Source organism: Homo sapiens, chromosome 12 (genome assembly GCF_000001405.40).
Source record: "Homo sapiens chromosome 12, GRCh38.p14 Primary Assembly".
NCBI classification, from domain to species: Eukaryota; Metazoa; Chordata; class Mammalia; order Primates; family Hominidae; genus Homo; species Homo sapiens.
Genome location: NC_000012.12, coordinates 121,855,168 through 121,875,650, shown reverse-complemented (window position 1 = coordinate 121,875,650; position 20,483 = coordinate 121,855,168). Strand labels below are relative to the sequence as shown.

At 49.8% G+C, this 20,483-nt stretch overlaps 1 protein-coding gene and 1 long non-coding RNA gene across 3 annotated transcripts in view, besides 5 other annotated features; one reads left to right on the top strand and one right to left on the bottom strand.

Moving 5' to 3' along the window:
- The window catches only part of HPD (4-hydroxyphenylpyruvate dioxygenase), a 49,085-nt gene that overhangs the window by 12,961 nt on the left and 15,641 nt on the right, over positions 1-20,483 (top strand). Inside the window, exons 2-8 of one of the 2 annotated variants that reach the window (NM_001171993.2) lie at positions 12,055-12,119; positions 16,460-16,726; positions 16,938-16,964; positions 17,832-17,894; positions 18,219-18,323; positions 19,026-19,068; positions 19,245-19,327. In NM_001171993.2, the coding sequence (NP_001165464.1) occupies positions 18,243-18,323; positions 19,026-19,068; positions 19,245-19,327 (207 nt within the window). In that variant the 5' untranslated portion in view covers positions 12,055-12,119; positions 16,460-16,726; positions 16,938-16,964; positions 17,832-17,894; positions 18,219-18,242. Of the gene's footprint in view, positions 1-12,054; positions 12,120-16,459; positions 16,727-16,791; positions 16,831-16,937; positions 16,965-17,831; positions 17,895-18,218; positions 18,324-19,025; positions 19,069-19,244; positions 19,328-20,483 lie in introns of those variants that run through there. The other variant, NM_002150.3, reaches the window with a different exon arrangement.
- TIALD (transcript inducer of AURKA lysosomal degradation) lies at positions 1,314-19,398 on the bottom strand. The gene is made up of 3 exons (XR_002957437.2): positions 19,005-19,398; positions 17,813-18,032; positions 1,314-1,456 (listed from the first exon to the last, which is right to left on the bottom strand). It is a non-coding gene; the product is annotated as a transcript inducer of AURKA lysosomal degradation (long non-coding RNA).
- Positions 13,334-13,628: a silencer, noted in NCBI's record as "tiled region #2080; K562 Repressive non-DNase unmatched - State 3:PromF". NCBI's record gives its function as "represses a minimal TATA promoter and a strong SV40 promoter by Sharpr-MPRA in K562 cells {active_cell/tissue: K562}" and the evidence as "EXISTENCE:reporter gene assay evidence [ECO:0000049][PMID:27701403]".
- Positions 14,616-15,132: an enhancer, noted in NCBI's record as "H3K27ac hESC enhancer chr12:122298425-122298941 (GRCh37/hg19 assembly coordinates)". NCBI's record gives its function as "activates a minimal SCP1, AML or CMV promoter by ChIP-STARR-seq in naive H9 embryonic stem cells {active_cell/tissue: H9 hESC(naive)}" and the evidence as "EXISTENCE:reporter gene assay evidence [ECO:0000049][PMID:30033119]".
- Positions 15,133-15,650: an enhancer, noted in NCBI's record as "H3K27ac-H3K4me1 hESC enhancer chr12:122297907-122298424 (GRCh37/hg19 assembly coordinates)". NCBI's record gives its function as "activates a minimal SCP1, AML or CMV promoter by ChIP-STARR-seq in naive H9 embryonic stem cells {active_cell/tissue: H9 hESC(naive)}" and the evidence as "EXISTENCE:reporter gene assay evidence [ECO:0000049][PMID:30033119]".
- Positions 18,671-19,870: an enhancer, noted in NCBI's record as "MED14-independent group 3 enhancer chr12:122293687-122294886 (GRCh37/hg19 assembly coordinates)". NCBI's record gives its function as "activates an origin of replication core promoter dependent on BRD2, BRD4, P300/CBP and CDK7 cofactors, and independent of MED14, by STARR-seq in HCT116 cells {active_cell/tissue: HCT116}" and the evidence as "EXISTENCE:reporter gene assay evidence [ECO:0000049][PMID:35650434]".
- Positions 19,676-19,855: a silencer, noted in NCBI's record as "fragment chr12:122293702-122293881 (GRCh37/hg19 assembly coordinates)". NCBI's record gives its function as "represses an EF-1alpha promoter that drives an FKBP-Casp9 reporter gene in an ReSE screen in phorbol 12-myristate 13-acetate-treated (for megakaryocytic differentiation) K562 erythroleukemia cells {active_cell/tissue: K562(+PMA)}" and the evidence as "EXISTENCE:reporter gene assay evidence [ECO:0000049][PMID:32094911]".

Genomic DNA, 20,483 nt, shown 5'->3' with positions numbered 1-20,483 from the left:
AGTTTGCCACCAGCCTGGGCAACATGGTGAAACCCTGTCTATATAAGAAATTCAAAAATTAGCCGGGCTTGGTGGCACATACCTATAATTCCAGCTACTTGGGAGGCTGAGGTAGGAGGATTGCTTCAGCCTGGCAGATGGAGGTTGCAGTGAGCCGAGATTGAGCCACTGCACTTCGGTCTAGGTGACACAGTGAGACCATGTCTCAAAAAAAAAAAAAAAAGAAAGAAAGAAAAAGGGGGAGAAAAAAAAGAAAAGAAATTGACCATACAGAGTATCTACACCACAGAATTCAGGAAATGCTACAAACCAAGGTTACTGTTTTGTTGATTGCCTAGGCAGGGGTGGGTAAACCATGGCCCTTGGTCTAAATCTGGACCACTGTCTGTTTTTTCCCTCATTGACTGTTTTTGTAAATAAGTTTTTATTGGCACATAGCCACACCAATTTGTTCACCTATTGTCTGTGGCTGTTTGCAGGCTACAGTAGTTTCAGCAGAGGCCTGATAGCCCACAAAGCAGAAATATTTACCATATGGCTTTTTATGGAAAATGTTTGCCAGGCCTTGTTTTAGACTTAAGAAAGTGACAAGGCCAGGCACGGTGGCTCACGCCTGTAATCCCAGCACTTTGGGAGGCTGAGGCAGACAGATCACCTGAGGTTGGGAGTTCGAGACCAGCCTGACCAGCATGGAGAAACCCCTCTCTACTAAAAACACAAAATTAGCCGGATGTGGTGGCACATGCCTGTAATCCCAGCTACTCGGGAGGTTGAGGCAAGGGAATCGCTTGAACCCGGGAGGCAGAGGTTGCGGTGGGCAGAGATCGTGCCATTGCACTCCAGCCTGGGTAACAAGAGCGAAACTACGTCTCAAAAAAAAAAAAAGAAAGTGACAAAGAAAGTTCAGATGTTTCAGGTGTCTCCCAAATGGATGTTTCACATGCACACATCTCCCAAATGGATGTTAATGCCTTAAAATCTTGGAAGCAGGAACTGTTTTTGGTTTTGTTTGTTTGCTTGTTTGTTTGTTTTGAGATGGAGTTTTGCTCTTGTTGCCCAGGCTGGAGTGCAATGGCGTGATCTCGGCTCACTGCAACCTCTGCCTCCCAGGTTCAAGCGATTCTCCTGCCTCAGCCTCCCAAGTAGCTGGGATTACAGGCGCCCGCCACCACGCCCAGCTAATTTTTGTATTTTTAGCAGAGATGGGGGTTTCACCATGTTGGCCAGGCTGGCCTCGAACTCCTGACCTCAGGTGATCCACCCACCTCGGCCTCCCAAAATTCTAGGATTACAGATGTGAGCCACCGCACACGGCCTAGGAACTGGTTTTATGTTTGGATGATCACAAACATAGTAATATGAATGTGGCCTGGTGAGTTCCATGTAAGCATTTTCTAGCCACAAAGAACAAGTTATTTGGGCAATTCTTCCTCTTCTTGAATCTCAAGTTCCTCATCTGCAAAATGAGAGGAGAAAAATAGAAAGCTGAGAGATAAAATGGGCACAGTGCTTAGCCGTGGCATATACCGGGGGGTGCTGCCTCCATCACCTCTTTCCCACCCCATCAGGTACAAGTCATAAGGGAGCTGTCATGCGTTGGGTTGTCTAGGAGCAGAGGATGAGACAGAGCTTAGGGTGCAAGATTTTTTTCTTGCTGTTGTTTTGTTTGAGACAGGGTCTTGCTCTGTCACCCAGGCTGGAGTGCAGTGGCAAAATCATAGCCCACTGCAGCCTTGAACTCCTGGACAGAAGCGATCCTCTGCCTCTGCCTCCCAAAGCGCTGGGATTACAGGCGTGAACCGCCATGCCTGGCCATAAAATGATTTTTTTTTTTTGAGACGGAGTCTCTGTCTCCCAGGCTGGAGTGCAGTGGCGCGATCTCGGCTCACTGCAAGCTCCACCTCCCGGGTTCACGCCATTCTCCTGCCTCAGCCTCCCGCGTAGCTGGGACCACAGGCGCCCGCCAGCACGCCCAGCTAATTTTTTGTATTTTTTTAGTAGAGATGGGGTTTCATGGTGTTATCCAGGATGGTCTCGATCTCCTGACCTTGTGATCCGCCCGCCTCAGCTTCCCAAAGTGCTGGGATTACAGGCGTGAGCCACCGCGCCCGGCCATAAAATGATTTTAAGGATCCACATCAGTGAAAGGAAGCAGAGGAGGCTGGACTGGGGAGAAGGAGAACTCAGTGGTGGAGACTCCACAAGGCCTTGGCCAGCCCTACCGGGGCCCTGGAGACAGACTCACTGGTCAGAGTCACCCCCATTGGGCTGAAAGGGACCAGCCTCTCTACTCCCTTGCTCAATCACAAAAAGTGGGCTGCTCTGGGAAAGCTGTGGCCAAGTCTCTACAGCTGAGGCAGATCCGATAGGAGGTGACAGCCAACCAGTCTCCCTACAGCTGGGCATTGAGGCCTTCCTTGAAGGGTTATGGACAGTAGAATCTACCACAGGGATGCAATGTCTGCAGAGAGTTTTAAAATAATAATAAAAACTGCTAAAATCAGTCAACTTTATTTTATGTGTGCCAGCAAATGCAAACAAAATGATCAAGTACTACCTCCCTGTGGAACAGACAATCCCCATGATCCCTACCTCGGTGCTTGACAGTGAATACATGCTCACAGATGGTGGTGGTGTTATTGTTTCTTTCTTTGTGTTTGTCAGCACCAGTGGTTGTAAATGCCAGAAACCCAACTCAAACTAGCTTAAGCAAAAGGGAAAAAGGTTTGACTCATCCAGGAGCTTGTTTCTGCCTGGAACAAGTTGCTCAGACATCAGGAATCAGCCTATCTTCTCTCAGCTCTGGTTTCTCTGTTCTGGCTTTATATACAAGCATGTTTTCCTTCAGCTGACTCAGGGTTGGCCCCCGCAGCACCACTGGATCAGTGCAGCATACTCAGAGCTCAGAGTGAGCCTCTTTTCTCAAGCAGAAGATCCAGAGCAAATCCATATGGCCAGTTCTGGCCAGGTGCCCAGCCCTGAACCAATCACAGGGATTCTCACTGCCCAGTCCTGGCTCACATGCCCCACCCAAACGACATGAACGGAGCAGGGAAAGGATGGAGAAGGGAGACGCTGTTATGAGAACAGGAGTGGATGCTGGAGAGACAAGAAATTTTAGGCCAGGCACGGTGGCTCATGCCTGCAATCCCAATGCTTTGGGAGGCTGAGGCAGGTGGATCACTTGAGGTCAGTAGTTCAAGACTAGACTGGCCAACATGGTGAAACCCCGTCTCTACTAAAAATACAAAAGAAACTAACTGGTCCTGGTGGCGGGCTCCTGTTAGTCCCAGCTACTCAGGAGGCTGAGGCAGGAGAATCACTTGAAGCTGGGAGGCGGAGGTTGCAGTGGGAGTGCACCATTGCACTCCAGCCTGGGCGACAGAGCAAGACTCCATCTCTTTTTTTTTTTTGAGAGGAGTCTCGCTCTGTCGCCCAGGCTGGAGTGTAGTGGCGTGATCTTGGCTCACTGCAACCTCCGCCTCCCAGGTTCAAGCAATTCTCTGCCTCAGCCTCCTGAGTGGCTGGGATTACAGGTGCCCACCACCACGCCCAGCTAATTTTTTTTTTTTTTGTATTTTTAGTAGAGACGGGGTTTCACCATCTTGGCCAGGCTGGTCTTGAACTCCTGACCTTGTGATCCACCCGCCTCGGCCTCCCAAAGTGCTGGGATTACAGTCGTGAGCCACCGCGCCCAGCCCGAGACTCCATCTCAAAAAGAAAAAAAAGAGAGAAAAGAAATCTCCAGGACACTCCTCAATGCCCCGGTGCCAGGAACAGAGGACATCCTACGGTCCACACCAGCTCCAGTGCTCCCTGGCTTGCACAGTTAGGACACTAAGACTCAGAGGATGCCAGGAGTGGCCCAAGATTACACAGTCTTCAGAGCCCAGGGGTCCTATGTCCCGTGCCACCAACTCTCTGGTCCCTCCCAGCCATCACTGGTGCCTGGTGATACAGCTTCCTGTCACCACAAAGCTCAGACACATGGGCTCTGTACCTCAAGAGATAAAGACCAGCCCCACCTAAGTGGCCCTGCCCAGGATCACCAGCCCTGATAACAAGACTAGCTGGGCACCCGGGCCAGCCTTCACCTGCTCTGGTCCCAGCTGCCCTTGCTTGGGAGAGCTGTGGGGCCTGGCAGGGGAGGGGTGAGGTTCTGTCCATGGACTTCTGCCTCTGAATCCTCACTAGTTCTGCCTGTTTGGGAGTCTCCAGTTGTAGATTGCAGGAAGCAGAGCACAGGGCTATTTGACTGCTTTTAGATGCATTTTTTTTTTTTAATTGAGACAGGGTCTCACTCTGTCACCCAGGCTGGAGTGCAGTGGCATAATCACAGCTCACTGTAGCCTCAACCTCCTGGGCTCAATCGATTCACCCGTCTCAGCCTCCTGAGCAGCTAGGACTACAGGTGTGCCCCACCACACCTGGCTGATTTTGGGGTTTTTTTTTGTAGAAATGGGGTTTTGCCATGTTACCCAGGGTCATGTTGAATTCCTAGGCTCAAGCGATCTGTCTGCCTCGGCCTCCCAAAGTGAGGGGATTACAGCCTAGATCCAATTTTTAAATGTAAAGCTTCTTGGTTTACTTATCTTCCCCAAACCTAATGGAGAATCACAAATAGGCCACTGGGCAATGGCACAGCAGCTCTGGGCAGCTGGGTTTCCAGCCCAGCTCTCTTCCCTGTGCTCACCTAGAGCAGAGCAAGCTTTAATGTTCTGATCACGTTGCATCTCTACTATAAAACCTTCAATAGGCCGGGTGCGGTGGCTCATGACTGTAATCCCAGCACTTTGGGAGACCGAGGCGGGCGGATCAACTGAGGTCGGGAGTTCACGACCAGCCTGACCAACATGGAGAAACCCCATCTCTACTAAAAATACAAAATTAGCCAGGTGTGGTGGCACATGCCTATAATCCCAGCTACTCAGGAGGCTGAGGCAGGAGAATCGCTTGAACCCAGGAGGCAGAGGTTGTGGTGAGCTGAGATCCCGCCATTGCACTCCAACCTAAGTAACAAGAGTGAAACTCTGTCTCAAAAAAAAAAAAAAAAAACCTTCAATAGCTCCCTATTGTCTCAAAGATAAAATCTAAACCCCCTGACAATGAGATCACCCATCCTTGCCTTCTTTTTTTTTTTTTTTGAGACAGAGTCTTACTGTGTCACTCAGGCTGGAGTGCAGTGGCACGATCTCCACTCACTGCAACCTCCGCCTCCTGGTTCAAGTGGTTCTCCCGCCTCAGCCTCCCTAGTAGCTGGGATTACAGGCATGCGCCACCACACCTAGCTAGTAAGCCTCCATCTTCTAATCTGTGAAATGGGGATATGAGAGCACCTACTTAACAGGGTTGTTGTGGATTTAATGAGTAAAGAGCAGAGCATGGAATGTGCTTAGTACAGTGCCTGGCACATAAAACAAAGTGACCAGAAAATGGGAATTTAGTTTGTGTTAACATTATTTTAATTATTTTGAAAAAGTGTGCTGCCTCCAGAGGTAACCATCTGGTGAATCATGTTCCTTCTGCAGAAGATTTTTTCCTTTTAAGCTAAAAAAAAAAAAAAAATCAGCTTACGCTGGGTGTGGTGGTTCATGCCTGTAATCCCAGCATTGTGGAAGGCCGAGGCAGAAGGACTGCTTGAGCCCAGGAGTTCAAGGTTAGCCTAGGCAACACAGGAAGACCCCATCTCTAAAATAATAATAATAATAATAATCAGCCCACTTCTTAGGACACTAAAGCACAAGTGACTGAAGAACAGGTAGATACGCTGGACTTCATCAAAATTAAAAGCTGTTGCACTAAAAATAATACAATTAAGAAAGTGAAGGCCAGGCATGGTGGCTCACGCCAGTAATTCCAGCACTTTGGGAGGCCAAGGTGGGTGGATCACTTGAGGTCAGGAGTTTGAGACCAGCCTGGGCAACATGGTGAAACCCTGTCTCTACTAAAAACACAAAAATTAGTTGGGCCTGGTGGTGGGCGCCTTTAATCCTAGCTACTCAGGAGGCTGAGGCAAGAGAATCTCTTGAACCCAGGAGGCAGAGGTTGCAGTGGGCCGAGAGCCACTGCACTAAAAAAAAAAAAGTGAAAACCTACAAAATGGGGAAAAAATACTTCCAAATATATTCGATAAGGGATTTATATCTAGAATATATTAAGAACTCTTTCCACACCAGTGGCTCATGACTATAATCCCAGTACTTTGGCGGGAGGACCCCCTGAGCCCAGGAGTTCAAGACAAGCCTGGGCAACATAGTGAGACCCCATATCCACCAATTTTTTTTTTTTTTTTTTTTTTTTGAGACGAAGTTTCACTCTTGTCACCCAGGCTGGAGGGCAATGGCGCGATCCTGGCTCACTGCAACCTCCGTCTCCCAGGTTCAAGCGATTCTCCTGCCTCAGTCTCCTGAGCAGCTGGGATTATAGGCGTCTGCCACCATGTCCGGTTAATTTTTGTATTTTTAGTACAGACAGGGTTTCACCATGTTGGCCAGGCTGGTCTCGAACTCCTGACCTCAAGTGATCCGCCTCGGCCTCCCAAAGTGCTAGGATTACAGGCATGAGCCACCACACCCAGCCAAAAAATTGTTTTTAATTGGCTGGGCACAGTGGCACATGCCTGTAGTCCCAACTACTTGGAAGGCTGAGCTGGGAGGATCGCTGGAGCCAGGGAGGTTGAGGTTACAGTGAAATATGATCGTGCCACTGCACTTGCACTCCAGCCTGGATGATAGGGCGAGAGTCTGCCTCAAAAGTAAGAAAACAAACAAAGAGAACTCTTATAGCTCAATAATAAAAAGACTATAATTCGATTAAGAAATAGGCAAAGGGGCCGGGCATGGTGGCTCATGCCTGTAATCCCAGCACTTCGGGAGGCTGAGGCAGGTGGATCATTTGAGGCCAGGAGTTTGAGACCAGCCTGGCCAACATGGTGAAACTCTATGTCTAATAAAAATATAAAAACTAGCTGGGCATGGGGGCACAGGCCTGTAATCCCAGGCTACTCAGGAGGCTGAGGCAGGAGAATCACTTGAACCTGGGAGGCAGAGGCTGCAGTGAGCCAAGATTTTGCCACTGCACTCCAGCTTGGGGGACAGAGCAAGACTCCATCTCAAAAAAAAAAAAAAAAAGAAAAAAGAAAGAAATAGACAGGCAAAGGGCTGGGTGTGTTGACTCACACCTGTAACCCCAGCACTTTGGGAGGCTGAGACGGGAGGATCACTTGAGGCCAGTGAGCCGAGATCGCGCCACTGCACTCCAGCCTGGGCAACAGTGCAAGACTCCGTCTCAAAAAACAAAACAAAACAAAACAAAAAAAGATGAGGAAGTGTATTGCCCAGCTTCTGTTCTCTAACCCTTCACATTTGTATTCTGTTTTGTAACCAAGACTCATTCTCCCTTGATTTGTTAATAGGCTGATTACAGAAAGCAACTAAGCAGTGTTGTTTGTTTGGGTTTTCATTTTTTTGGGAACAGGGTCTCGCTGTGTCACCCAGGCTGGAGTGCAGTGAAGTGATCATTGCAGCCTTGACCTCCTGGGCTCAAGTGATCCTCCTGCCTCAGCCTCTGAAAGTGCTGGCATTATAAGCATGAGCCACTGTGCCTGGCCAATGAGCAGTATTAAACTCTGGCACAAGCATACAATGAAACACTGCTCAGCAATAGAGAGAAACAAAGTTTGGGCGGGGCACTGTGGCTCACACCTATAATGCCAACATATTGGGAGGCCAAGGTGGGAGAATTTCTTGAAGCCAGGAGTTCAAGACCAGCCTGGGCAACATAGCAAAACCTTGACTCTACAAACAAACAAACAAAAATTTAGCCAGTGGTGTCGGGCACGGTGGCTGACACCTGTAATCCCAGGGGTCCCTCCCTTTGGGAGGCCGAGGCAGGCGGACCACTTGAGGTCAGGAGTTAGAGACCAGCCGAGCCAACATGGCAAAACCCTGTCTCTATTAAAAATACAAAAATTAGCCAGGCATGGTGATGTGCACCTGTAATCCCAGCTACTCGGGAAGCTGAGGCAGGAGAATCACTTGAACCTGGGAGGTGGAGGTTGCAGTGAGCCAAGATCACACCACTGCACTCTAGCCTAGGTGACAGAGTGAGAATTCGTCTCAAAAAAAACAATTTAGCCAGTCATGTTGGTGTGTGCCTGTAGTCCCACTGCATTCCAGCCTAGGTAACAGAATGAGTGAGACCTTGTCTAAAAAAAAAAGAAAAGAAAAGAAAAACAAGAAAGTAAAGTCTGGATGCAAGCATCAACGTGGATGAATCTCAATTTTTTTTTTTTTTTTTTGAGACAGGGTCTCTCTCTGTCTCCCAGGCTGGAGTGCAGTGGTGCAATCTTGGCTCACTGCAGCCTCCACATCCTGGGTTCCAGCGATTCTCATGCGTCAGCCTCCTGAGTCACTGGGACTACAGATGCGTGCCACCATACCCAGCTAATTTTTGTATTTTTAGTAGAGATGGGGTTTTGCCATGTTGGCCAGACTGGTTTTTGAATTCCTGACTTCAGGTGATCTGCCCACCTCCGCCTCCCAAAGTGCTGGGATTACAGGCGTGAGCCACCACACCCGGCCTCAAATGTATTTTGTTGGGTGAATGAAGCAAGACTGAAAAGGCTACATACTGCTTGATTCATTTATATGACATTCTAGAAAAGGCAAAGCTGTAAGGAAAGAAAATAGATCAGTGGTTGCCAGGGGTTGGGATGAGGGTGGATTGAGGACAAAGGTGCACAGCGAGGGTGGATTTGTGGTGATTACATTTTGGGGTAATGGAATTGTCCTGTATCTTGATTGAGGTCATAGTTATGCAACTGTATATGTTTTCAAAATTCATAGAACTGTACGCTGAAATACTCTTTTCAGTGTACAGTTCTATGAATTTCACTCTGTGTAAGTTATAGCTCAACAAATAGAAGCCATATTTACAAAATCTTAAATCATGTAAATTATGATGTAAAACATGTAAATAGACTTTGCTGCAGAACCAGAAAGGCCAACTAGATGTGCAGAGAAGTATGAAATAAACCCTGAAGTCACTAAGCTTGGGGTGCTCCCAACAGCAGAAGATTCCAAATGGCAAGGTTGCATTGGTTCTCTTTATTTAAACTCCGTCAAATGGCTGAGAACCGTTGGCATGTTTTGTACTGTGGAAAATTCAAATAAACTGTAAGAACAAAATTAAAACCATCTGTAAACTGTGGGGTTTTTTTTTTACACAAATGGTAACTTATATACACTGCTCCGTGCCTTTTTTTTTTTAAACGTAACATATCTTAGAGCTTTTTCCCATCACCATCTAGAACATCTAGAAAGTTTATTTATTCTTTTTTTTTTTTTTTTGAGGCGGAGTCTCGCTGTGTCCCCCAGGCTGGAGTGCAGTGGCAAGATCTCTGCTCACTGCAAGCTCTGCCTCCCGAGTTCACACCATTCTCCTGCCTCAGCCTCCCGAGTAGCTGGGACTACAGGCGCCTGCCACCATGCCTGGCTAATTTTGTTTTTGTATTTTTAGTAGAGACAGGGTTTCACCGTGTTAGCCAGGATGGTCTCGATCTCCCGACCTCGTGATCCAACCACCTCGGCCTCCCAAAGTGCTAGGAGTACAGGCGTGAGCCACGGCGCCCCACCTTTTTGTTTTGTTTTGCTTTGTTTTTTAAAAAACAGAGTCTCACTCTGTTGCCCAGGCTGGAGTGCAGTGGCTCAATCTAGGCTTACCGCAACCTCCACCTCTGAGGTTCAAGCAATTTGTGCCTCAGCCTCTCGAGTAGATGGGATTACAGGCGCCCAACACTACGCCCAGCTCTTTTTATTTTTTTAGTAGAGATGGGGTTTCGCCATGTTGCCCAGGCTGGCCTTGAACTCCTGACCTCAGGTGATCCTCCCGCTTTGGCCTCCCAAAGTGCTGGGATTACAGGCATGAGCCACCACACCCAGCCTCTTGATTATTTTTAATAGTTAATGTTTTATTGTATTAAGCCAATCTCCTGTTGATGGATACTTAGATTACTTTAGATTACTTTGTTTATAATATTTTCTTTCTTTTTTTTTTTCCTTTTTTTTGAAAGAGAGTGTCGTGGCTGGGCACAGTGGCTCATGCCTGTAATCCCAGCACTTTGGGAGGCCAAGGCGGACAGATCACGTGAGGTCAGGGTGTGAGACCAGCCTGGCCAACATGACGAAACCCCATCTCTACTAAAAATACAAAAAATAGCCGGGTGTGGTGGCGGGCACCCATAATCCCAGTTACTTGGGAGGCTGAGGCAGGAGAATTGGTTGAACCCGGGAGGCGGAGGTTGCAGTAAGCTGAGATCATGCCAGTGCACTCCAGCCTGGGCAACAAAAGCGAAACTCTGTCTCAAAGAAAGAAAGAAAGAAAGAAAGAGAGTGTCGCTGTGTCGCCCAGGTTAGAGTGCACTGGCATGATCTCAGCTCACTGCAGCCTCCGACTCCCAGGTTCAAGCGATTCTCCTGCCTCACCCTCCCGAGTAGCCGAAACTACGGGTGCCCGCCATCATGCCCAGCTAATTTTTGTATTTTTAGTAGAGACGGGGTTTCACCATGTTGACTAGGCTGGTCTCGAACTCCTGACCTCAAGTGATCCACCCACCTCAGCCTCCCAAAGTGCTGGGATTACAGGCGTGAGCCAATATGCCCAGACGTTTATAATATTTTCTACCCTAAGATGAACCAGTGGAAGTGATAATAGCCTTAAAATTGAGGATGGGAATTAATGTGGGTATTGTCTATAACAGGAGTTTTTTGTTGTTGTTGTTGTTGTTGTTGTTGTTTTTGAGACGGAGTCTCACTCTGTCGCCCAGGCTGGAGTGCAGTGGTGCAATCCTGGCTCACTGCAAGCTCCGCGCCCCGGGTTCACTCCATTCTCCTGCCTCAGCCTCCCAAGTAGCTGGGACTACAGGCGCCTGCCACCATGCCTGGCTAATTTTTTGTATTTTTAGTAGAGACGGGGTTTCACCATGTTAGCCAGGATGGTCTCGATCTCCTGACCTCGTGATCCGTCTGCCTTGGCCTCCCAAAGTGCTGGGATTACAGACGTGAGCCACTGCGCCCGGCCATTTTTTTTTTTTTTTTAATAGTCAGGGCCTCCCTCTGTTGCCCAGGCTGGAGTACAATGGTACAATCATAGCTCACTTCAGTCTTAAGCTCCTGGGCTCAAGAGATCTTCCCCACTTAGCCTCCTGAGTAGCTGGGACTACGGGCATGCACCACTATAGCCGGCTACTTTTTAAACTTTTTGTAGAGACAGGGTCTCACTAGGTTGCCCAGGTTGGTCTTGAACCCCTGGCCTCAAGTGATCCTCCTGCCTCCGCCTCCCAAAGTGCTGGGATTACAGGTATGAGCCACTGTACCTGGCTTTAATAAGATATTTTTTCTTTTTTTTGTGTGACAGAGTCTTGCTCTGTCGCCAGGCTGGAGTGCAGTGGCACGATCTCAGCTCAATGAACCCTGCCTCCCGGGTTCAAGTGATTCTCCTGCCTCAGCCTCCTGAGTAGCTAGGATTACAGGTGTGTACCACCATGCCCAGCTAATTTTTTTTTTTTTTTTTTTTTTTGTATTTTTAGTAGAAACAGGGTTTCGCTATGTTGGCCAGGCTGGTCTCAAATTCCTGACCTCAAATGATCTGCCTGCCTTGGCCTCCCAAAGTGCTGGGATTACAGGCATGAGCCACCGTGCCCAGCCAAGAGGGACAAAAACCTTTTCACAGAAAAACATTTTTATACAACTTAACCAGAAAGCTTCATTTCAGGTTCAGGAAGTGGAAGGGGCAAAATCCTGGATTTTCACAAATTTCCAAAATGGGCTTATATAACTCTCCACCCTTTTCTTTCTTTTTTTTTTTCTTTTAGAGACAGGGTCTCATTCTGCTGCCCAGGCTGAAGTGCAGTGGTGCAATTATAGCTCACTGTACCCTTGAACTCCTGGGCTCAAGGGATCCCCCCATCTCAGCCTCTTAAAGTGCTGGGATTACAGGTGTCAGCCACTGCTCCTGGCTCGCCACCAATGCTTTTCATTCTGATCATTTCTGTAGTGAGCAGCATAGAAGAAATAATGCCTTTTGAGGGACAGTTGCATTTAACAGACAGCCTTACTAAGGTGAGTACGTCAGGACAAAGATGCGGGAAGGAGAATCAGGCTATTAGTCCATTGTTGCAAATTGCAACGAATTGAGAAAGTCAGACACAACGATCAACTGCAGTGAAACATTTGGTGGGGAGTTTTGAGAGTCCAGTCTGAAGGAGTGCGTGGAAGGATCACGGTCCCTGTGATGTACCCTCTCTCGGCTTGTTGCTTTGGGCAGGAATCACAAGTTAGGAAGGAATCAGCACCAGAAATGCAGAGCTGGCTGGGCGCAGTGGCTCACGCCTGTAATCCCAGCACTTTGGGAGGCCGAGGCGGGAAGATCACCTGAGGCCAAGAGTTCGAGATCAGCCTCGCCAACATGGCGAAGCCCTGTCTCTGATAAAAAATACAAAAATTAGCTTGGTGTGGTGGCGCATGCCTGTAGTCTTAACTACTTGGGAGACTGAGGCGGGAGAATCACTTGAACCTAGGAGGCGGAGGTTGCAGTGAGCAGAGATCACGCCATTGCACTTCAGCTTGGGAGACATCCCAAGACCATCTTAAAAAAAAAAAAAGGAGGGGGGGTGCCGGGCGCGGTGGCTCACGCCTATAATCCCGGCACTTTGGGAGGCCAAGGCGAGCGAATCACGAGGTCAGGAGATTGAGACCATCCTGGCTAACACGGTGAAACCTCATCTCTACTAAAAATACAAAACATTAGCTGAGCCAGGTGGCAGGTGCCTGTATTCCCAGCTACTCCGGAGGCTGAGGCAGGAGAATGGCGTGAACCTTGGAGGTGGAGCTTGCAGTGAGCCGAGATTGCACCATTGCACTCCAGCCTAAAAAAAAAAAAAAAAAAAAAAAAAGCTTGCATTGAGCCGAGATGCCAAGATCACGCCACTGCACTCCAGCCTGGGCCACAGAGGGAGACTCTGTCTCAAAAAAAAAAAAAAAAAAAAAAAAAAAAAGGCCGAGAGCGGTGGCTCACGCCTGTAATCCCAGCACTTTGGGAGGCCGAGGTGGGCAGATCACCTGAGGTCAGGAGTTCGAGACATGCCTGACCAACATGGTGAAACCCCATCTCTACTAAAAATACAAAATTAGCTGGGCGTGGTGGCACATGCCTGTAATCCCTGCTACTTGGGATGCTGAGACAGGAGAATCGATTGAACCTGGGAGGCGGAGGTTGTAATAAGCCGAGATCGCACCATTGCACTCCAGCCTGGGCAGCAAGAGCGAGACTCCGTCTCAAAAAAAAAAAAAAAAGAAATGCAGAGCTGAAGAGCAGCCCAATGTAAATGGTCCCATTAGAGAGGAACTCTTTCATCATGGACATCTGTAAGTGACCCACACTGTCCAGCAGCATCCACGATGTTTGCACAGCATATGGCCCCAGGGAGGGATGTCTCTAATCTGCCAGGGTCCTAGAGTTAAAGTCCTGTGTGTTGAGTGGAGCAATTTTGCCCATTTTTTTAGTTTGGCAGAATTCATGCTGACACTGAAACAGCTCACAGCAGACAGCATCAGGTTTCAGCATTTTTTTTTCTCTTTTTTTAAGACAGGGTCTCACTCTGTCACCGAGGCTGGAGTGCAGTGGTGCGATCATAGCTCATTGCAGCCTCGACCTCTTGGGCTCAAGCAACCGTCCCCTTGCAGAGCTTTCAGCTTGGGATCAGGTTTGGAAAACTAGAATTCGTGAATTCAGGATTTTCTTCTGCAGTAGCTAAGCCAAGAGACTGTTTGTCTCGAGGCTAAGAGCGAAGCGAGGCTTTCTTAAGCCCTTTAAGTCTGTCAGTTTCAGAGCCCGGGTGGACGCCTGTAAAAAGATCCCTATCAGCTAGAAAATCATGACTCTAAGGGTCAGCTGTGTGGTTTCACAAGGGCTCATTAGCAACTAAAAACTGCTTTTTAAAACCCTGAAAGTGTATCTCCATTTAGAGATTGCCTCTTTTTCATGTTTTTTTCCAGAAGCTGTAATATTAGCAAACACTATAGTAAGAACTATCAGTAACTGAGACTTGTTCCATTTTATTTACTTACTTACTTACTTATTTCTTTATTTTGAGACAGGGTCTCATTCTGTCGCCCAGGCTGGAGCGCAGTGGCACAATCTCGCATTGCAACCTCCACCTCCTGGGTTCAAGTGATTCTCCTGCCTCAGCCTCCCAAGTAGCTGGGTGGGATTACAGGCACACACCACCACACCCAGCTAATTTTTTTTTTTTTTTTGAGACAGAGTCTTACTCTGTTGCTCAGGCTGGAGTGCAGTGGCATGATCTCGGCTCACTGCAACCTCCACCTCCTGGGTTCAAGCAATTCTCCTGTCTCAGCCTCCCAAGTAGATGGGACTACAGGTGCCTGCCACCATGCCCAGCTAATTTTTGTATTTTTAGTAGAGACGGTGTTTCACCATATTGGTCAGGCTGGTCTCAAACTCCTGACCTCAGGTGACCCACCCGCCTCAGCCTCCTAAAGTGCTAGGATTATAGGCATGAGCCACTGCATCCAGGCTAATTTTTGTATTTTTAGTAGAGATAGGGTTTCACCATGTTGGCCAGGCTGGTCTCGAACACCTAACCTCAAGTGATCCTCCCTCCTCGGCCTCCCAAAGTGCTAGGATTACAGGTGTGAGCCACTGGGCCCTGCCTTATCTATTTTTGATACAAGTTCTCACCCTGTTCCCCAGGCTAGAGTGCAGTGGCGTGATCATAGCTCACTGCAACCTTTAACTCCTGGACTCAAGTGATCCTCCCACCTCAGCCTCCTGAGTGGCTGGGGACTACAGGTGCTCACTACCAGGCCCAGCTAGGTGAATGCTTTTCTGCACACCAGGGTATTTTCAAGGATGCGTCCTATGAACCCATCTGATCAGTGAGCTTCTTGAGCAAGGCCTCTGGAACCCACCTCTGCATGGTCGGGCATGAAGAACAGAGACAGTCACACCCAGCCACTGCTGATCTGTTATCCAGTGGAGCCCAGCCTGAACAGAGAGCATCAGGGAGGGGACTCTGGATACTGGGCCCTGCAGGCTTGCCTCCCTGCTCTCTGCCCAGACATGTGAATGGCATCTAGGGGTGCACCCAGCATGGGACTGAGACCTACAGTGTTGGGGACAGAGTTCCTACCTCTAGATGCCTGCCAGCCTTTGCAACCCACTGCTGTTGACACACTTCCTTGAGTTAGTAAACATTGGCCTTTGTGCTTAGCATATAAGCCAGGGCAGGCTCCAGGAGTGGGGGTTTGAGTTGGCCACAGCAATCAAAGTGACAAGATGTTCCTGCTGGCCTGGAGGGGATAGGCAGGCTACACAGAGCTCTTCTCCTCCATGGGAACCTTCTGGGCCTGTGAGATCCACCCTGGGCCACCTCCACTCAAGTTTTCCCAGTTGGATATTTATTTATTTATTTGAGATGGAGTCTCACTCTGTCACCCAGGCTGGAGGGCAGTGGCATGATCACTGCTCACTGCAATCTCTGCCTCCTTGGTTCAAGTGATCCTCCTGCCTCAGTCCCCTGAGTAGCTGGGACTACAGACGTGCACCACCGTGCCCAGCTAATGTTTGTATTTTTAGTAGAGATGAGGTTTTACCATGTTGCCAGGCTGGTCTCAAACTCCTGGCCTCAAGTGATCCTCCCTCCTTGGCCTCCCAAAGTGCTGGGATTACAGGCGTGAGCCACCACCCCCGGCCCCCAGTTGGAAATTTAGACTTAAGGAGCTGAGGTGGACACTGGGAGCACACTGGGCAGGCCCAGGACAGGCAGAATAAGGGGGTGGGACCACCTTGCCTGCCTCCTGAATGGCCCAGAAAATAGAGAAAAGGAGGGAGAAGTGGTCTGCACTGGTGCAATGAGATCCAACTTCAGAATCAAACAGGCCAGAGTTTGGGGCTCTGCTCTTACCAGTTCCATGACCTGGGAGACATGTGTTCACCTCTCCAGGCCTCAGTTTCCCCATCTGATGGGGATATCAATATCTCCCATTTGTATAGAGGGCAATCTAGCAATTTAAAGTGTGGGTCCTGGAGTTAGAATAGCCCGGTTCATGTTCCAGTTCTTCCCTGCCGCTTGCTGACCTCATGGCCTAGGAATGTTCTCTGTCCCAATGAATTATAACCAACACTGAGAGTGTCCTGTGTGCCAGGTCCTGTTCCAAAGAGCGTGCTTATCTCCTTTAATCCCCACCACACTATTCTCATTCCTGTTTTACAAATGAGGCTCAAAGGGATATGGTGATTTTCCCAAGTCACACTGTATGTAACAGAGCCAGGATGCAAACCTTCTCCTGCCGTGCCTCTCAGAGCTATGGAATACAACGCTGTGACGCAAACAGGACTTTGGGGCCAGTCTCCAAATGCCCCCTCAAATTTCCTCTAGGCAAGAGTTCTGGAGCCGCCACTGCACTCCAGCCGGCCTTGGCTTCTGAGCTTTGGATTCTGGGCAGTAATGGTCACATTCCCAGCGTCCTGGAAAAGCTTGCCCTTGGCTTCTGGCCCTGACTCTGCCTCCCACTGACTAGTGGACGTCACTGCCCCTCTCTGGGCCTGGCAACACCATCCTGTTCAATGAGGCTGCGGCTGGATCAGAGGTCCCCAGGCCTGGAACCTTCCAGGGCTGGGCTCAGCTCCCCACCCCATCCCCCAGGTAGGCCAGGAGGCCTGGGCGGGACCTGCTTGGGGTTAAATACTCCGGCCCAGCACTCCCCAGGCCTCTAGTCCCAGTAGGAGGTTTGACTAAGATCAATCATGGTAAGTGCCATGGCCATCTCCCCTTGGGTGGGACATCTTCAGTAACGCTTCCAGAAGCACCTTGTGTTGGAACCTCCAAGTCTCACTGTCCTTCTTTTTCTCCTTAGACGACTTACAGTGACAAAGGGGCAAAGGTAAGCAGGCGAAATGTGGGAAATGTAGGGGCCTGAGTCTAGAAGGGGGTCGGAGTGCAGGGAGACTGGGGTTTCAGCAGAGAGCAGAAGAGGAAGGACTGGAGTGGATACATGACGTGCATGCCTGCACACTCAGCTTTACCCCCGGGGCTCCCCGAGACTGAGCTGGACTCAACCTCACCCTCACAACAAACTTGTATCCTGGCCGGGCATGGTGGCTCATGCCTGTAATCCCAGTGCTTTGGGAGGCCAAGGCAGGCAAATACTTGAGGTCAGGAGTTCGAGACCAGCCTGGTCAACATGAGGAAACCCCGTCTCTACTAAAAATACGAAAATTAGCCGGGCATGGTAGCGCACCCCTGTAATCCCAGCTACTCAGGAGGCTAAGGTGGGGGAGATCACTTGAACCCTAGGATCGCTTGAACCTGGGAGGCGGAAGTTGCAGTGAGCCAAGATTGCACCACTGCACTCCACTCCAGCCTGGGCAATAGAGCAAAACTCCATCTCAGAAACAAAAACCAAAACAAAACCTGTACCCCTTCTCAAATGCCTGCCAATCTTTTAATCCCATCTGGAAGTTCTTTCTAAGGTCTAACTTAAATCCATATTGCTGCAACATAAGTCTATTTCCCTGTGTGAAACCTTGGCAGGCCTCCTGAGGGGGTTTCCCCATCCAAGACACCCAGGAGCTCAACTTCCACATGAGAAACCTCTTTTGAGGCTTGGCAAGGCTGCATGGGGTTCCGCTGCTCCTAAGTTCTGTGGTTGAGGCTGGAATAAGGAGGGTGGCTAGGGGACATCACTCCACCCGCACTTTTCTAGACTCACTTTCAGGGACTCAACCTCACCTCTTCTCTCCTTCTGCAGCCTGAGAGAGGCCGATTCCTCCACTTCCACTCTGTGACCTTCTGGGTTGGCAACGCCAAGCAGGTAGAAGCCGGGGCAAGGTGCTGGAGTGAGCAGACGGCAGGGCAGAGGGCTGCCTGACAAGGGCAGGCCTCCAGCAGGGTCTGTGATTGGCCCTTGGGAGGGAGGATCAGGCCAGGGGTGGGCCAGATACTCTGAATCCTAATTACACCAGCGGGAAAGTTATCTGTCAGCAAAATGTGCAGGCAGCAGTCTATCTTCCCAGGAGGGTCTCTGCCCCTGAGGCAATAGGGCAGGCAGGCTGAGGGGGGCCAGGGGCTCTCTTGCGGAAGTCCCCCATGCTGGCCCCTTGACCCTCATGAACCCTGCTGCAACCCTGTGATTCAGGCCACGTCATTCTACTGCAGCAAGATGGGCTTTGAACCTCTAGCCTACAGGGGCCTGGAGACCGGTTCCCGGGAGGTGGTCAGCCATGTAATCAAACAAGGGAAGGTGAGTCACCACCCCCAGGACAGCCCCCAACCCCTGCCTGGCCAACATGGTGAAACCCCATCTCTATTAAAAATAGAAAAATTAGCTGGGCATGATGGTGGGCACCTGTAATCCCAGCTACTCAGGAGGCTGAGGCAGGCACATCGCTTGAACCCGGGAGGCAGAGGTTGCAGTGAGCCAACGTCGTGCCACTGCACTCCAGCCTGGGCGACAGAGCAAGACTCCATCTCAACAAAAAAAAACAAAAAACAACAAAAAACCCCAACAACAACAACAAAAACATATAATTCAGCTCCCACCGACCCCTCCGCTGGCATCTTTGTACAGCCATGCAACACGGCCCTTCCTAGTTTCGTTTCCTCCTCAGCCTGGCCCAACACTGACCCCACAGGTGCTCAGAAAACCTGGGATATCAGAGGAGAGGAATTTTAAGCAGTGCCCTGACCGATGGGGTCCCTGGAGTTCTCTCCCCGAGGGAGACCTGACCTAGCAGTTCCTCTGAGGATCCAGAGGGGGTCTGGCTGAAAGCCCCATCCCTCAGGACCAGTGTGGGAAACTAAGGCAGAGAAGGAGCTAGAACCCAGGTCCAGGAGTTCTTGTGCTCCATCAGGGGTGTTTCGGGTCGGCAGGGAGGGGCCGATGGGTGCACCTCCCCATGCCCCCCTGAGCCACTAGCCTCACCTCCTTCTCCTCCTATCTTAGATTGTGTTTGTCCTCTCCTCAGCGCTCAACCCCTGGAACAAAGGTGAGGTGCCCGGGGAGGGTGGACGCATGGCTCTGTGGGTGGGATCTGGGTTCTGGGAGGGTGGACGCATGGCTCCGTGGGTGGGCTCTGGGTTCAGGGCCTGGATGGAGACTAAAAGCCAGGTGAGGGGACCTAGACTCCAGACTCCAGTGCCATCCTCTCCCTGCCGGCCACAGAGATGGGCGATCACCTGGTGAAACACGGTGACGGAGTGAAGGACATTGCGTTCGAGGTGGAAGATTGTGACTACATCGTGCAGGTAAGAAAGCACCTGGGTGGACTGAGAGAGGAAGGCCTCCGTCTGCCATGGGGACCCCATCAGTCAGGGCTGGAAGGACACTGCTGCATCACAGTGACAAGCCCAGATGCCACATCACAGTGACAAGCTCAGATGCTGCATCACAGTGACAAGCCCAGATGCTGCATCACAGTGACAAGCCCAGATGCTGGTGTGACACACACCTGGGCTCCGGGGGTGCCCTGCCTTCCCCCGTGTCCTCTCTCTCACTGAGCCTCAGTTTCCACAGCTGCCAGATGGGGCTAACCACAGCTGGGTTGTCAAAGGAGGAAATTAGAATTACCATTTCCTTTTTTTTTTTTTTTTTTTTTTGTGAGACGGAGTTTTGCTCTTGTTGCCCAGGTTGGAGTGCAATGGCACGATCTCGGCTCACCGCAACTTCTGCCTCCTGGATTCAAGCAATTCTCCTGCCTCAGCCTCCTAAGTAGCTAGGATTACAGGCATGCGCCACCACGCCCGGCTAGTTTTGTATTTTTAGTAGAGATGGGGTTTCTCCTTGTTGGTCAGGCTGGTCATTTCCTTTTTTTTCTTTTTTCATTTTCTTTTTCTTTCTTTTGTGTGTGTGTGTGTGTCAGAGTCTTGCTCTGTTGCCCAGGCTGGAGAGCAGTGGCGCAATCTTGGCTCACTGCAACCTCCACCTCCTGGGTTCAAGCGATTCTCCTGCCTCAGCCTCCCGAGTAGCTGGGATTACAGGCGCCTGCCACCATGCCCAGCTAATTTTTGTATTTTAGTAGAGATGGAGTTTTGCCATATTGGCCAGGCTGGTCTTGAACTCCTGACCTCAAGTGATCCACCCACCTCGGCCTCCTAAAGTGCTGGGATTACAGGCATGAGCCATTTTGCCTGGCCTCAGAATTACTGTTTCTTGAGCACAACTCTAAACCAAACACTGTACCCAACAGGCAGCCTACAGATTCAGAGTGTGCGTTCCAGAGCCAGGCTCTCCAGGTCTGAATCTTAGCCGTGTGACTTCGGGCAAGTGACTTAATGTCTCTGTGCTTCAACGTCCTCACCTAGAGAATGGAGATGATAATAGTACTTTTGCATAATGTTGCTGTGAGGATGAACGAGGTTAGAATCTAGAACAGAGCCTGGTGCATGATATAAGCACTGTCAT